This window comes from Homo sapiens, chromosome 8 (assembly GCF_000001405.40).
Source record: "Homo sapiens chromosome 8, GRCh38.p14 Primary Assembly".
Lineage (NCBI taxonomy): Eukaryota > Metazoa > Chordata > Mammalia > Primates > Hominidae > Homo > Homo sapiens.
Genome location: NC_000008.11, coordinates 142,833,461 through 142,850,137, shown reverse-complemented (window position 1 = coordinate 142,850,137; position 16,677 = coordinate 142,833,461). Strand labels below are relative to the sequence as shown.

Genomic DNA, 16,677 nt, shown 5'->3' with positions numbered 1-16,677 from the left:
GAGGCAATGCCCCGTCCTGCTTTGGCTCACACTCCGTGGGCTGCACCCACTGTCCAGCCAGTCCCAATGCGATGAACCAGGTATCTCAGCTGGAAATGCAGAAATCACCATCTTCTGCATCGATCACACTGGGAGCTGCAGACTGGAGCTGTTCCTATATGGCCATCTTGGAATGGACCACCCCTGTCACCTGACTTTTTTACAAAGGTACCAAGACCATCCATTGGGGACAGAATAATCTTTCCAACAAATGGTATTGAAACTTGATAACTATGTGGAAAAGAATGAAGTTGGGTTCTTATCTCAGACCATATATGAAAATTAATCTGAAATTGATCAAAGATCTAATCATAACAGCAAAAAATAACAGTCTTAGAAGGAAACATAGATGTAATCCTTACTGACCTTGGGTTTGGTGAAGGTCATGGCACCAAGAATATGAGCAAGAAAATAAAAAATAGATAGTTTGGACTTCACCAAAATTGAAAACATGTGTGCTTCAAAGCACACTCTCAAAAGTGAAAGGACAACCCACAGAATGGGAGACAGTATTTGCTAATCATCTATATGATCAGGGATTTGTATCATGAGTATATAAAGTACTCTTACAATCAAGAAGATAAACAGATGGCCAAAAAACACAGGCAAAGATACTCAATGTCATTAGTCATATGGGAAATGCAAATCAAAACCACAATGAGATGGCACTTCACATCTACTAGAAAGACTAAAATAAAAAACATCAGATAATAACAAGTGCTAGAACCCTCACACATGGCTGGTGGGACTGTAAAATGGTGCAGCCACTCTGGAAAACAGTCTCATAGTCTCTTTAATAATTATCTAGAGAGTTACCATAGAACCCAACAATTCCACTACTAGGAATATACCTAAGAGAACACAAGTCCAAGTTTCCATGATGGCAGTGTACAAGCAAGCTGGCTTCCCTCCCATCTCAAAGAAAACCAAAACCAAATACACAGCACTGAGATTATCACCAGCAATATCCCAGGACTCAAATATAAGGATGAGATAGTTCCTGGGGCCACAGAAAAGTAAAAAAACTCCTACAGCAGATGTAAGAAAATGGGATTTACATGCCCACAATGCCCCTCTTCCCAGTCTGCTCAGCACCAAATGTGCAGAACATTTCCCCCTGACTCACAGTTTCTACACTGGACAAAGTGACATGGAGGCAGACAACCAGCTTCCTTCCCATGTTGGGTTTCCTGGCAGGAGACCTGCCCCTGCTTCAACCCAGAGGTATCATCAGGAGTGCCTGAAGGGAAAAATATTTCTGAGGAAAGTCAGAGACAAAAGGGGAAATGGGACTCCCATCCCACCCTTGAAAACTCTGCTGTGTAACTCAGCCAAAGGAGACAGTAAATCAGGGTGGCTGTTCACAGTGCCATGCTGTAGGAAGTAAGTCCCACAGGCCCCCAGGCATGCAGCCCTGGTCAGCCTTCCCACATGACCGGGATATCCCCTTGGGGCCTCTCTCTTTGGGACTGGCAGTACTCTACTGTTGACTAGAACCAAGGCAAAGTTGGGCTTAAGTTGCCATCTAGTGCAGAAAAGGAGGCGGCAACCTAGCAGGAAAAAAGAAAAAGGAAAGAAACAGATAAATTACAAAAATCTCTAATGAAACATATCCAGTAAAAACCAGGCTGGGTGTGGTGGCTCACACCTGCAATCCCAGCACTTTGGGAGGTCGAGGTGGGAAGATCACTTGAGCCCAGGAGTTTGAAAGCAGCTTGGGCAACACAGCAAAACCTCATCTCTACAAAAAAATATAAAAATTAGCTGGTCTGAACTACTCAGGAGACTGAGGTAGCAGGATCACCTGAGCCTGGAATGTGGAGTTGCAGTGAGCCACAATCACCACTACATTCCAGCCTGGGTGACAGAGTGAGACCCTGTCTTAACACACACACACACACACACACACACACACACACACACACCCACAAACAAAAAAACAAAGAAACAAAAAGAAGCCAGACAGAGAAGTCTGAAATAAATACATAATTCTTCTGTGCAAGGACACAGACATACATTCACAAGAAACAACAGCAAACAGGGAGCCATGACCTCCCCAACCGAACAAGGCAAGGAACCAGTAACTGACCCTAAAGAGAGAGCAATATGTGAATTCTCTGACCAAGAATTCAAAATAGTAGTTTTAAGGAAACTCAGTGATCTCCAAGATAACAAAGAAAAGCAATTCAGAAATTTAGGAGAAATAATTAACGAAGACATTGAAATAATCTAAAAAGTCAAATAGAAACCTTGGAAATGAGAGATATATTTGCTGAACTGAAAAATTCATTACAGGCTTTCAACAGCAAAATAAATAAAGCAGAGGTAAGAATCAATGAACCTGAAGACAGCTATTTGAAAGTACACAAAGGAGAAAAAAGAGAGAAGAATGAAAAGGAATGACGATAACCTATAAGATATAGAAAATTACCTCAAAAGACCAAATCTAAGAATTACTGGTGTTTAAGAGGGAGTTAAGCAAGCACCAGGGGTAGGAAGCTGTTCAAAAAATAATAACAGAAAAATTTCCAAAACTTGAAGAAGAGATAAATATTCAGATACAGGAAAGTTAGAGAACACCAAAGAGATCTGACCCAAATAGGACTACCCTGACACATATAATAATCAAACTCTTAAAGGTCAAGGACAAAAAGAGGACCCTAAAAGTGGCAAGAGAAAATAGGCAGACATGTAAAGGAGCTCCAGTTCATCTGGCAACAGAATTCTTAAGGGAAACTCAACAGGCCAGGAGTGAGTGGTATGACATTTTGAAAGTGTTGAACAGAAAAAAAAAATCCTCAACTGTCATCCAAGAATAATGTATCCAGCAAAACTGAACTTCAAATATGAAGGAGAAATAAAGTCTCTCCCAAACAAAAGCTGAGAGAATTCACCACCACCACATCTGTCTTACAAGAAATGCTAAAGGGAGCTCTTCAAACTGAAAGAAAAAAACACTCACGTATAAAAAGAAAACATCTGAAAGTATAAAACCTAGGGTAAAATTAAGTACACAGACAAACCAAAATATTGCAATGCTATAACTGCAGTGTGCAACCCACTCATAACTTTAGTATGAAGCACAAAGACAAAACTACCAAAATCAATTAATAGCTACAGCAACTGATTATAATAAAACCACAAAGTAATCCCTGAATACAGAGCAAGGGAGGGAAGAACAGATATGAATAGAGACTCCACTATGAGTGCTCAAGTACATGCAGGCAAACAAATGCTCATGAACATCTCCACTAAACAATATTTTTTTAATTTTTCTCTTACAACAAACCATAAATGGGCCACCTAGAGGAGCAGTGGATAAGGGTCTCTGGCTTAGAAGGGAATAATGGAGAGCAACATTTCTCTGCGGAACAGGTGAAGATGGTCAGACCCTCCAAGGTGGGGTCCTCATGGCAATATATTGCTGACTATGATAGAGGCAAAACTCAGCAACAGTTTTGATACCCCCAGCCTCACAGTTCCTTCTGGAAGCTCCTCCTCAGTTACTTCATCGGGTAACATGTCCCTTTCAAGATTAGTAGGTCCTCCTGCATTGCAAACCATGCTATTACAACAACAAACCCAGTAGAAGCTATTAGTTTTGAAGATTTTTCCTGGGGCTTCAGGAGGCTGTTCAGCTGCATATACAAATGTGCAGTTGTTTGTACAGTTCTTATAAACAAGTAGTTCACGAGAATTTATGCCTAAAAAAAGAAGCAGCAATGAAAATAATTGATTTCACATTTTCTGCTTGTAAATATTGAGGCACATACACCTCACATTCAACCATAATTAGCTCCATGTACACATTCTACACTCCCAGCTGTGATAAAATTGTCTAGAACACTTGACTAAGAGAGAACATCCAAGTCCACTAGCGGGTCTCATCACTCCCAGAACAACTTCTTCTGGAGATAGTTTTCTATCTAAGCTGCCATCTTTAGGCCTCTGGCCCTCCCAAAATGGTATCATGGTACCTTGTCATGTAGCTACACGCAATGAAATGTCCTGTTCATTTCTTATGGTAAGAATTCTAGAGCCCGAGAAATTAAATGCAGACCAGAAATCATGTTTCACTTATGGTCTAGAGATCACATGGACCTTTAACAGAGGTGTCCATATTAATGTAGCCTTAACTAGATTTTCTGCAGTTGGCAAGACCCTTCTAGGGTAAACTCCTTCCTGGGACCCTCAGCCTGGTGTTTCAGTCTCCTGGACCAACATATAAATGCTCTTGACCCTTGGTGCCAACCTCCTCCCCAGTACAGACTTGATGCACCTTTCCAACTAGGTACGTGTTATCCGATGGACAAGCCCTCTGGTGAAGGTTATCGATCGCAACTAATGTGATCACGACTAATGTGATCAATAATCTTCACTAGAGGGCTTGTCCAGTGGCCTCAGCTGACCAATGCCACCTGACCAAAGCTCCATCTAACACCTCCTTCAAGAATCCCAGGGTTAAATACCTTGGCCCTCATCACTACTTCTGTTCCCCTTGAAGTCTATCCAGTGTTTACACAAATACTTTATTCTGGAACTTACCATAATTGATTTATCTATTCATGGCTCTGGGTCTTGTCTCCTCTATAACACCAGAAACAAATGATGAATACGAACCAGTCACTTGTTTTCTGTTATTTTCCATTTAAAAAGTTTATTGGAGTTCACCATTCTACAGAAATGTGCCTGACCATAAGTCCACAACTCAATGGATTGTCACCAAGTGCCCACAGCCAGTACTCAGCATGCAGCATCAGAAACAGAGCTGCAAGAGAGCCCCAGGATTCTTCACTCTGTTCCTCCATGCAGACACTGCTGTGAGCAGCCCAGGCCAAAGACAGGAAATGTATGGGCTTCTAAACCTATAGGTTAGTTCTGTTTGGTTTTGAACTTTATGAAATGAAATTATACATTACATCTGCTTTTGTGGATGGCTTCTTTTGCTCTAATCTGTGTTTATGAAATTTATCCCTATTGTTGCACACTGTTGTATATTGTTCATTCTCAAAATTGCATAGCATTACATTGGTGAACATACCACAATTTATTGTTGATGGACATTGAGGTTGTTTCTGGTTTTTGTCTACTCCAAATAGTGCTGCAATGAATACTCTTGTCTTGTATTTGCCTTAAGGTGAGCCTGTATAAGCTTTTTTATAATTAGCTATGTACCTAGGAGTAGAAGCGCTGAGTCTCAGTGTTTGATACGCAGCTTTAGCCGACAACATCGAAGAGTTTTCTACACTGGGTTGAACTTATCTATAGTCTGAGGGATTGTGCACAGTTCAGAACCCTGACAACACTTGTTATGATCACTTTAGGATACTGAGTCATTTCCTGTGGTGTTATTGTGTTGTGGTTTTAAGCTGCATTTCTTTCAAGAAGAACGACAGTGAACAACTTTTCTTATGTATGTTACACATTCAGACACCATTTTCTGGCAAATTCCCTTTAAACCTTTTGTTTAAATTTCCATTGATCAGTTTTTTATTAATTCATAGGAATAAGTTCATTATATTATGAACACAAGTACTTTAGTAAATACATGTTTTGAAATGCTTTCTCCTCATCCGTGGCTTGCGGTTATACTATTTCACAGGTATCTTCTTAGGAACAGAAGTTTTGAAGTTAAAGGTAATTCAACCTATCAATTTCATTCTTATGTGACTAGCACTATTTTGTTCGATTTTTTAAATTCTTAATTCCTAAAAGTCATAAATACAGCATTTTACATTTTTCTCTAAAAACTTTATTGGTTTAATATTTACATTGAGATCTACAAACCACCTGAAACTGCTTCTTTTATATGGTGCAGATATTGTGTATAAATATCTAACATATCCACTACTGCTCAGCGCAGAGAAGTGTCTTTACCTACTGCACTGCAGGGTCAACTTTGTCAGAGATCAAGAAACCAGAAGTATGTGGCTTTTTCTGAATTATTTCTCTTCTAATGTTGTTATTTTTCAATCCTGACCACAGGATCCAACACCAAACCGTTTTGATTAAGGAAACGGTTTGATAGTTCAGAGCACAAGTCCTCGAGCTTTTTTCTTTTTCCCCAAGACTGCTTTGGTTATTCCTAGCCCTTCATATTTTCAAAAAGCATTCGGCACCAACTTGTCAAAACACAAACATACCCCTGCTGAGACTTTGACTGAAATTCTTTTGGATTTGTAGGTTAATTGGAGAAGAGATATCCTTACTCTTTTGATTCTCATGATCCATAAGTATAGTGTACAATTCCATGTGTTTAAGTCTTTAATGGTGTTTTAAGTCTTCAATAGTGTTCTTGCAGTTTGAGTGTTGAAATCTTGCACAAATCCAGTTAGATTTGTGGTACTTGATTTTGTGATACTTTAAAGAGCACCATTCCTTGGATTTCATTTTCAATCTGTTTCTTGATGTACAAAAGGACAACTGATTTTGTAAACTGATTTTTGAATACTTATCTTGTATCCAGGATCTTTCCTAAAGATATTTGTTATTTGAAGTTTGTTGTCTCTGATGAATAGTAAGCAGTTTAAATTCTTTCTTTCTCCTCTCCATGAGACTTAATACTTCCTCTTGCCTAACTGAACTACCTAACAACTCCAGTTCCATTGGGAATAGAAGTGGTGATGGTAGACATTTCCCTCAGAGATTTGGAAAGGGTGTTGGATTTTATCAAAACATTTCAGCATCTACAATCATCTCTGCCCTTTTCTTTGTTAATATGGTGAATTAAACTGATGGGTTTCAAATTGTAAACCACATTGCAATTCTGTTATTGAATCCACAAGGTAGTGGGGTTATGGTGTGTGTGTGTGTGTGTGTGTGTGTGTGTGTGTGTGTGTGTGTATGAACCTTTTATTTTAAAAATAGTTTTAGGTTTTCAGAAAAGTTGCAGAGATAGTGCAGAGTTCCTATATGCCTCATACCCAGGCCCCTTGTCTCAGGACACTGCCTGCGTTTCTTTCCATAGAGGTCTTTTGCTTACCATCCTGCACAGCCCCAGAAATCAGCAAATCTCCTGAAAGGAAAAATGTCCCAGCATTCCAGCATTCCCAATTTCTTTGTCCTAATATCCATCAGGGTTCATTCAGGAAAATGGAGCCTCTAAAACAGTCTAGGTCTAAGTTATTAAATAAAAGTGTTGCAGCTGCCATGACCATGGGGGAGCCAAGAAAGGAAGTCAGTCAGGTAAGGCTGAAGATCAGAGGAACAACAGTCCAGAGCTAGGTCACTTACACTGGGGCAGGCTGGAACAGCCCAACTCTGCAGGGCAATATCAAAGGCCATGCACCGTTATCCTCTCAAGTAAGGCTGTGCAGAGGAGTCTCTTGCAGAGACATTTAAACTGCGCCACTGGAGTACCCATCACCTAGGCAGGCCAGTGGCCAAATGCCTGCTGGAGTCTTAGAATTGCTTTCAGTCAAAGGCTCAAAAGTGGAGAAGATGGGGTGGACATGAAGGAGGACAGATTGGAGTCCACCAGTGTCCTTCACTTCACTAAACCATCGTGACCTTCCAGAAGAGTGATCTCTGCTTCACCCATACCTTGCGAATCTCACTCAAGTTCCTCTTTTTGCCAACTATTACCCCACGAGGGAGTTATGGGAAAGATAGTTCTCAGCCTCATTTAGAGGCAGTAATCCCAACATGACAAAACCATGCCATCAAGGTCCCCAGCAGTGGCCACTGTGGAGACAAAGCCCAGATTCTCAGCCTCCTGCCCATGTCCCAAATCAGCAGTTGGTCTGAAGAAGAGGTGTGTATGAGTCTCTTCTCACGCTGCTATAAAGAACTGCCCGAGACTGGGCAATTTATAAAGGAAAGAGGTTTAACTGACTCACAGTTCCGCGTGGCTGGGGAGGCCTCAGGAAACTTACAATGACAGCAGAAGGGGTAGCAAACACATGCTTCAAATGATGGCAGGAAGGAGAAGTGCCGGGGAAAAGCTCCTTATAAAACCATCAGATCTTGTGGGAACTCACTATCACGAGAACATCATGAGGGTAACCACCCACATGATTCAATTACCTCCCACCAGGTCCCTCCCATGACACACGGGGATTATGGGAGTTACAATTCAAGATGAGATCTGGGTGGGGACATAGCCAAACCACACCGAGGTGGTAATCAGGGGATTATTTTTGCACAAAGCTTAGAACACAGAATGACATGTGAAGTTGCAAGCACAACCACAGACACCGGGGACAAAAGGGCTACAGGAAAGGCCCTGAGCAGAGCCCCAGACGAGGCTCCACCTGTGCGCCAGGGCATACACTGGCTGCACCCTCCCTGCTTGCTCCATTGGTCACTGGGCCTCTGGCCATACATCTTCTGCAGGTTAGGGCCCTGGGGAGAGAGGGCACCAGAGGGCTCTGAGGAAAAAGCAAGAGCATCCTGGAAGTGCAGGCTGTGCCCTGACCTCATGCTTGTCCTTCCCATCTGTGTGTGGTAGGTTTTTCCCTGGGGGGAGTCCATGGCCCATCCACTGCTTTGACCTGCCGAGCTGGAAGCACTCTCTAGACTACCAGAAATTGAATGGCCAGTGAGGACTCACCCAGGCAGCATGGGGTGTCTACACACACAACCAGGGACAGTAGAGGCTCTGAGGTCCAGCAATGCTCCTACCCCCTGGAGACGCTGCAGATGTGTGGACAGATTGTACTACTTTGCAGAGTACCTGGCTCTACAAGATGATGCATGCTGGCCTATCATGAGGCTGAGACCAAAGCGTGCAGAAACGCACTCAGGATGGGAGGACATGAGGGAAGGGGAAACAGAGCTGGGTGCAGAGAAGAAAGCAGACTGGCCCTGGCCCCAGAAACTACCCAGGTAGGGGACTAATCTACAATGTGTCAAAATGACAAAGAGGTACTTACGAATGGAGATTGTCATACAGCGCCTAATATGATACGGACATACTCTAATGTTGGGACAGTTGAAGTCATTTATGACCGCACAGTCATGGCATCTCAAACTGTAAGTCCCTGAGAGGGGAGAAAGCAGGCTTCAGGCTTCTGCTCCACTACGCCTTTTCCACCCATTACCAGCTCACTCCACCCTTCTTCAACGGCCAGCCCTTCCCCTCTGCTTCCAAGGACTTCTCCTAGCCTGCACAGCTCAGCTCTCTATGCAGTCTGAGTCTGGCCCAGGCTAGCTCCTGGGAGGGAGGCCAGGCACAAGGAGAGCTTTCCCTGCTCTCCAACGCAGGCTCCAGAGAGCGCCACTGGTGGTCACATACGGGATTGCTATGCTCTGCAGACCTGGCTCACCTCGCCAAGGAAGACTGGATACTCACAGGGGTCCGCCATCCTCCTGGGTTTCCCTGGACAGAGCCCCTCCTGCCTGGCGCTGATGGAGAAGGGCCACATCAAGGTTCCCCCTTGGTCCCTGGTCAGCTGCTCCTTCATCCTAACCCTCTCCTTGCTCATGACTACTCCTGGACTGCCCTAGTGCCCACCCCTGATTACACAGACAATGCAGGCCCCAGCTAACGGAGGCTTGCTCCACGTTGCAGCCAATCATCCCAGTGACCCCCAGCACCCCAGGTGAATTCTCGTCCTCTCCAGGACAGTGAGAGGGAATGATACTTACACTGAGCGCGCATGGTGGCACTGGCTGCCACCAATGGGAGCTCCATGGCTAGGAGTAAGGCAAAGAGGAGCATCACTTCACGCAGGAGCCTGGACCTGAAGGGAAGGAGCCCCATACAACACGTTAGTGAGCCATGGCTCCTTGGCCAGCTCTATGCCCCTGGCCTCAACGGCCTCATGAGTCTCCCTGACTCTGCCCACCTGAATGCCTCCCCCACTGGGCCAGTAGCTCCTCGGGTAAGGCACTGGGGTCGGGCAGGTCTCACCCACACACGAGGCTTCGCCAGGCCTGTGCCCTCACCTCAGACAAACTCGCTGTCACTCCTTGAGCCAGGGAGGTCCTGGGGCTGCTTCATGTGGCAGCTCACCCAAGGGTCCCCACGCTCCGAAATATGTTTCTGTATCTGCTGGTTGATTCTGAACCTCAACAGCGGCTTGTGAAATGTTCTCAAATACTCCGCCCACTGACGCGCTTCCCGCTCCCTCCGCCCACTGACGCGCTTCCCGCTCCCACACACAGCTCAGCAACACGAGGGCCAAGGTGACTACAGAAGGGGAGCGAGGGCAGAACATGCCAGAAGCCCAACTTGAAGGCATCCTCAGTGTCATTACGAGAGAACTCCCCTCCCAAAATCAAGTCTTCCTTCACCCTGGGCATCACCGAGCCATCAGCTAATTACTGGCAAGGGGAGGGTCTGGGGCACCTCACACCTGAGTCCTGATGCCAGCACTGTGGGCTCAGAAACGCCCCCCAGGTCACCAATCAGTTGCCACAACTGAGACATTTTCTCGCAGGGACCCAACTGCACCCTTACTCCTGCAAACGCACTGTCTCCATCCCCTACCCCCCTTCAGCAGCCCGACTCAAGGGGGAAGCTCCATCTCCCTGGTTGGGAGCAGGTCAGCCCGCAGTGCTCAGTGGGGCAACTCCCTGGGCCCAGCTGCTGATGCGTGCTGACTCCCCTCACGCGAAGGCCCCACCTGGAGGGGGTCAGAGCCTGATGTGTAGCTCCCTCCACCGCAGGAGCAGCTGGGGCTACAGAACTAGAAGCTGACTGTGCAGCAAGAAGCCACACCCCAGGGATAGGGATGATCAGGATCCAGTACCCACTTTGCCCCACCCTGTGTACCAAGTCCAGCGCCAGTGGGCGAGGCTGAGATTCAAAATGCCCCTAGCCCTAGGTCATCAAGTTTAGGAAAAAAGATGGGCTGGTACCTCTGGCATGCAGGAGACCAAGACTGGGGGCCTGTCAGTGTCCACCCTTGGAAGGGGCTCCTGACTCGTCCAGCCAGCCAGCCTCCCTAGGTGGATCTCCTACCCACTCCATGCCCATTCCCCTGAGACCCAGCAGCCCCGTCTCCACTCTGTCGTGCCTGCTTTCCCTGGATGCCTCCTTCACTCATCCAACACTTGCTCCCAAAGCTGGGCTCAAGGGCACCTACTGACCCAGAGCATGTACACTGAGGCCCTCTTCCTCCATGAGGGCACAGCAGACATTCTGAACACCCTTCTACTGTCAATGCCCAGAGCACATGCAGGAAAACTCCCATCAAGTGTGTTCACTGATTTCCAGCTGGATCTTGGGGTGGATGGGAAAATACCCAAGAGCTACAATGGAATACTAGAAGACAGCAAACTGGAAAGTCCACAGTAACTGTATGATTTCCTCGGGCACAGGTTGACACCCAGCTCCCAGAGCTTTAGGATTTTGTAGTAGAAGAGGTCCTGGAGACAGAGCCAGGGCCAAGGTGAGTGCGAAATGAGAGCTTGGATTCCTTCACAGAGCATGGATCCTCAAGACTAAAGGTGTCAGAGAAGCAGAGTGGGCTAGAAAATGTGGATCATCAGCATCAGCAAACAGAGACCCTGGTAACTTCAGGCCTCATCTTCCAGAGGATGCATGAAAACAGTGTGTTTCCCAGGAATTCCTTACCCAGAGGCTTTCTCAACAGTCAGTCTGGAGTTAGAACGTGTATGACTGTGTGATCATAAACCCCAGACACAAAAACCACTTGCAAGTGGTCATGAGTCATCCTCACCCTGGGAAGCCAACAGAAACCATCACTGGAGGGGGACATACCCTCCACTCAGACCCCGAGTCTCCGGTTGACTAATGACAAATACAAATGTGCCACAGATAACCAGAGGCACAGAAGTGATTAAGCCCCCAGGAGCAAAGGCAGAAGAAACAAAATCTCCAAGTTAGACTCCCAAGGAATTCCCATATAGGAATGATTGGAGGCAAATGTAAACATACAGCCTTGAAAAGTCAGGAAAAAATCAGGTCACTTCCACTTCTACATGGGATGCAGTAGGTTGTGGCTGCTCAGAATGTGACAACCAGGCAAATCAATCCACAGAGTTAAAAGTCACATTTGAAAGGCCCTTGGACAGATGTGGAAGCACCAAGGCCCACGTAAACTGAAATTCCGAAGAGGGCGAGCCCTTCCCAGGGTACCCTTTGTCATTGCAAATACATTTGTCACTTTGGGCACCAGCTGAAAGCCAGGCTGGCTACAGACAGGGACTCCAGTAGGGAATGCAAACCAGAGTGCCGTCTTGGCTCACGGGGAACCAAAGTGGCCCAGAATCTCCAGGTACCTAAAGATCAAGACAGTTTTCCCATGGAAGAGCCTCCAAGTGCTGTGGTGGGAGGGACCCTGGGGAGTCAGAGAAGGCCAAGTAGAATCCCCCCCAGTGTGGCAGATCCCAGGAGACAGAGTGCCCCTAGAAGGAGCCTGCCACAGTCATACCACTGGTCTCCATCATAAGCCAGTGGCCCCGATGGAACAGGTGTGTGGGATGAGGTTCAAGGGGAAAGTCAAAGCCTAGACAGGGAAACCTGTCCGAGCTGAGGATTCGGTGTGAAAGGTGAGCATACAAATTGGGTCACCCTTGTCACACCCAACTAAGGCAGAGTGCCAGGTAGGGAGACCATTCAGCACTCAGGATAGAAAACATTGCTCCAAGAATGTACTTCTCTGAGGCCTGACTGCTGAAACTGCCTGCGGTAACCTGAAACCAGTTTTATCTGATGGCTACTGAGACCACCTGCTGCAACTCTAAGCCTCGGTTCACCCACTGCTGTCACTGATTCACTCATCAACCAGAGCTTGCCAGCTCCCCAAAATCCTACTAGTGCCAATGAAACTCAGACAGCAATATGTACTATTTCTCTTCTTTATAAAAAAGAGACATAGTTTCTTTTTTTGAAACAGAGTCTCGCTCTGTCCTGCAGGTTGGAGTTGGAGTGCAATGGCGTGATCTCGGCTCACTACAACCTCCACCTCCAGGGTTCAAGCAGTTCTCCTGCCTCAGCCTCCTGAGTAGCTGGGACTATGGGCGCACGCCACTACGCCCAGCTAATTTTTGTATTTTTAGTAGAGACGGGGTTTCACTATGTTGGCCACGCTGGTCTTGAACTCCTGACCTCAAGTGATCTGCCTGCCTCAGCCTCCCAAAGTGCTGGGATTACAGGTGTGAGCCACTGCAAATTTTAAAAATCCTTCTCTTTGTTCTTTGGACATACTGAATGCCAGCCCGTCTACCCCCATGCCCCTAATTACAATTATTTCCTCCGAAAGAAAAGATTTCAATTTCAGAAAGTCATCTATTTTATTTGACTTCAACACGAGACAAGCCACACTCTGTAGGAGAAGGGGAAGGGCACCGCTCAAGATGGCTTCAGTTAGGGTTAGAGACAGGGCCGGCTCCAGAGGCAGCCAGGGTCAGGTTGAAGCTGCAAGCATCCCACTTGGCCTCCACCTTTGAGCAAGCCAGTAGTCCAGGCCTTCCCACAGGCTCCTGGAGAGAGGAGAGGGCACACATCCCCAGTAGTAACATACAACCACCTCCAAGCTTTCCAGCTATTTTGTACGCAACGCAAGATGTTCAATAAAAACATCACAGGATATGTAAGAATTAGGAATAAATTATTGCTAATCAATAAAACAACAATAGAAATAAACCCACAGTTCACTCAAATGTTGACATTAGCATACAAGTACTTTAAAAATTCTAATGAGAGCATTAAAGAGAAAAAGATTACTAAATTGATTTTTTAAAGATGAAAAAATTTTAAAAATAACAGGATGTGTAAGAGGCAGAAATAAGGGACTATAGTATGAATTATTTCTACACCACCATACTTCTGACCCTAAATATGTGAGTTTTTACACACAAACCAGTTCTCCAACTCTCTGGACACTGACCGTCCAACATTTCAATTCAATTCTGACACTGCCTTGAGCAGGGCAGACCCCACAGGTGAAGGGCTCAGTCCCACCCTAATGCCCCCACTTCAGATGCCAATCACAAGTCTGGGCCACGTGTACTTCTGACTGCCCAGTTATAAATCAAGGGTTTCCAAGACCACCTCCTCCTAGATAATTTGCTAGAACAGCTTACAGAGCACAAGAAAACAGTTTACTTACTATTACCAGTTTATCACAAAGGTGACAACTCAGGAACCGTGAAACGGAAGAGATGCATGGGGCAAATACAGGGTAAGCTTAAGATGGCTTCAGACAAAAAGAGTAGGAATATCTTATTATCAGCAGACCCACTACAAGAAATATTGAGTTCATAACATATATAGAAATAAAGTATATGACAATATCACAAAGCAAAGGAGGCTGTAGAACTGAAAGGCAGAAACAGTTACGTCAGCGTCGGCGAGTGCAGGCTTCCAGGCAAAAAACATTGCAAGAGGTGACAAGGACAGACACTTCAGAGCCGAATGCAGTTTCGGACACTGAGAGTCCATTTTCTGACTATGGTGGCATTAAGCAATAAGTCACCCCAGAAGGATTAACTGGAAAATCCTCATCTGTTTGGAACTTAAGAACACACCTCCAAATAAGAAATAGACCCCCAAATCCTTCTCAATAGAAGTCAAGAATATTTTGGGCAAAGTCATAATAAAGAATGAAAAATAGAAACCTGGCAGAAGTAGCCTGAAGGGACACGGAAGGAAAAGCAGGGCTCCATTAGAAAAGGCAAAAAGACTGGAAACGAAGGCCTCCTTCTCTCCTTCGAAAGCAAGGAGCCAGAAAAGAACGAGCAGCAGAACGTGGAACAGGCTGCGGCCCGAGACCCGCGCCTTGGGGAATCACAGACAGTGTGGGGGTGGGCGGCCCCGGGACACCCCGAGGGAAGGGGACTCAAGAACTGAACGGAGCCCCAGCCCCAGACTCTCGAGGGAAGTTGAGCTGTAAGGGGAGGGGGGCCCCAGGGAAGCGGAGTTGGGGTGCTGGCATCTCCCTGGGACCCCTGAGCATAGTTGGGGGGTCTCCCTGGGACCCTGATGGGAGTGGAGCTCGAGAGGTCCCCCAGTACCCCTGAGAGGAGCTGAATTAGGGGGTCTCCCTGGGACCCTGAGGGGAATGGAGCAGGGGGCGTCTCCCCAGGAACCTGCGGGGAGTGGAGTTTTGAGGGGTCCCCCTGGCACCCCTGAGAGGAGCTGAGTTCGGGGGGTCTCCCTGGGGCTCCGAGGGGAGTGGGGGCACCCCATCCAGGGAAGCGCGGCGCACCCCCGGCGGCGTCCTGGCGGCCCAAGCAGCTGACGAGGAGGCTGCCTCAGCTGGGCCCCTGGGCAGACTCCAGTCTCACGCCTGGGTCCCGACCCGCCTCAGGAAACTGACCTGTGCCCCTCGGAGCCCCGCAGTGTGCGTGCCCGCCGCCTCCAGCCATCTGAGCCTCCCGCGCCGACCTCCCCACCCGCTTTCTGGAACTTTCGGGGGCCTCCGCCGGCCGCACAGCCCCGCCCTCCTTCCGGACCCTCAAAGCCCCGTCCCCAGGCTCCAGGCCTCCAGCCCATCTGCCAGTGTTCAAAGGTGGGCAGGGTCCCCCTTGGGGCTCCCAGGTGAAAATATTTCTCACAGAAATCTGCACACCCTGGCTCCATCCACGCTCCCTTTAGGAAAGCCACGGGGAATGTTCTAGAAGCGCACGGCCCTGGCTGCTGGAGAAACGGGACAGCAGCCACCCTCGGCAGCCTGTTGGCACCGCCCAGGCCCACCCTGCCCTCAAGGTCCCAGTCCACCTGCCTCGTTCCTGGACCCTCCCTCTAGGGGGTCCCGCCATCACCATAACCCCTGGGGACCCCGGGAGCCCCTCCGCTCAGGGTGCGACCCCGTCGCCTCTGGAGCCGGCCCTGTCCCTAACCCTGACCAAAGCCAGCTTGAGCGGTGCCCTTGCCCTTCAGCCCCGCCAGCGCCCACCTGTGCAGAGGTTTCAGGGGGAGACCTGCCTGGCTTTCGCTTGAGCTCCTGCCATTTTGCCTTCAAGCTGTGTGTGGCCAGGGACAGCTGGCTTCACCCGAGCATCTCCTACACAGTGTGGCTTGGCTCTTGTCGAAGTCATATAAAATAGGTGAATTTCTGAAATTGAAATGTTTTATTTGGGAGGAAATAACTGCAATTAGGGGCACGGGGGCAGACTGGCTGGCCTTCAGTATGTCCAAAGAACAAAGAAAAGGCTTTTTTAAATTCGCGGTGGCTTACACCTGTAATCCCAGCATTTTGGGAGGCTGAGGCGGGCAGATCATTTGAGGTCAGGAGTTCAAGACCAGAGTGATCAACATGGTGAAACCCCGTCTCTACTAAAAATACAAAAATTAGCTGGGTGTGGTGGTGTGTGCCTGTAGTCCCAGCTACTCAGGAGGCTGAGGCAGGAGAATCCCTTGATCCCAGGAGGTGGAGGTTGTAGTGAGCCGAGATCGTGCCATTGTGCTCCAACCTGCAGGACAAATCAAGTCTCTGTCTCAAAAAAAAAGGAACTATGTCTCTTTTTTATAAAGAAGAGAAATAGTACATATTGCTGTCTGAGTTTCATTGGCACTAGTAGGATTTTGGGGAGCTGGCAAGCTCTGGTTGATGAGTGAATCAGTGACGGCAGTGGGTGAACCGAGGCTTAGAGTTGCAGCAGGTGGTCTCAGTAGCCATCAGATAAAACTGGTTTCAGGTTACCGCAGACAGTTTCAGCAGTCAGGCCTCAGAGAAGTACATTCTTGGAGCAATGTTTTCTATCCTGAGTGCTGAATGGTCTCCC

At 47.2% G+C, this 16,677-nt stretch overlaps 1 protein-coding gene across 1 annotated transcript; it reads right to left on the bottom strand.

Annotated features, from left to right (window-relative positions):
* Positions 1–3,286: 3,286 nt before the first annotated feature.
* GML (glycosylphosphatidylinositol anchored molecule like) lies at positions 3,287–15,337 on the bottom strand. Its single transcript, NM_002066.3, has 4 exons — positions 15,270–15,337; positions 9,628–9,722; positions 8,913–9,020; positions 3,287–3,743 (listed from the first exon to the last, which is right to left on the bottom strand). Exons 2-4 carry the CDS (start codon positions 9,698–9,700, stop codon positions 3,448–3,450), a joined length of 477 nt encoding a protein of 158 aa, NP_002057.1. The 5' UTR covers positions 9,701–9,722; positions 15,270–15,337; the 3' UTR covers positions 3,287–3,447.
* Between the last annotated feature and the right edge of the window lie 1,340 nt (positions 15,338–16,677).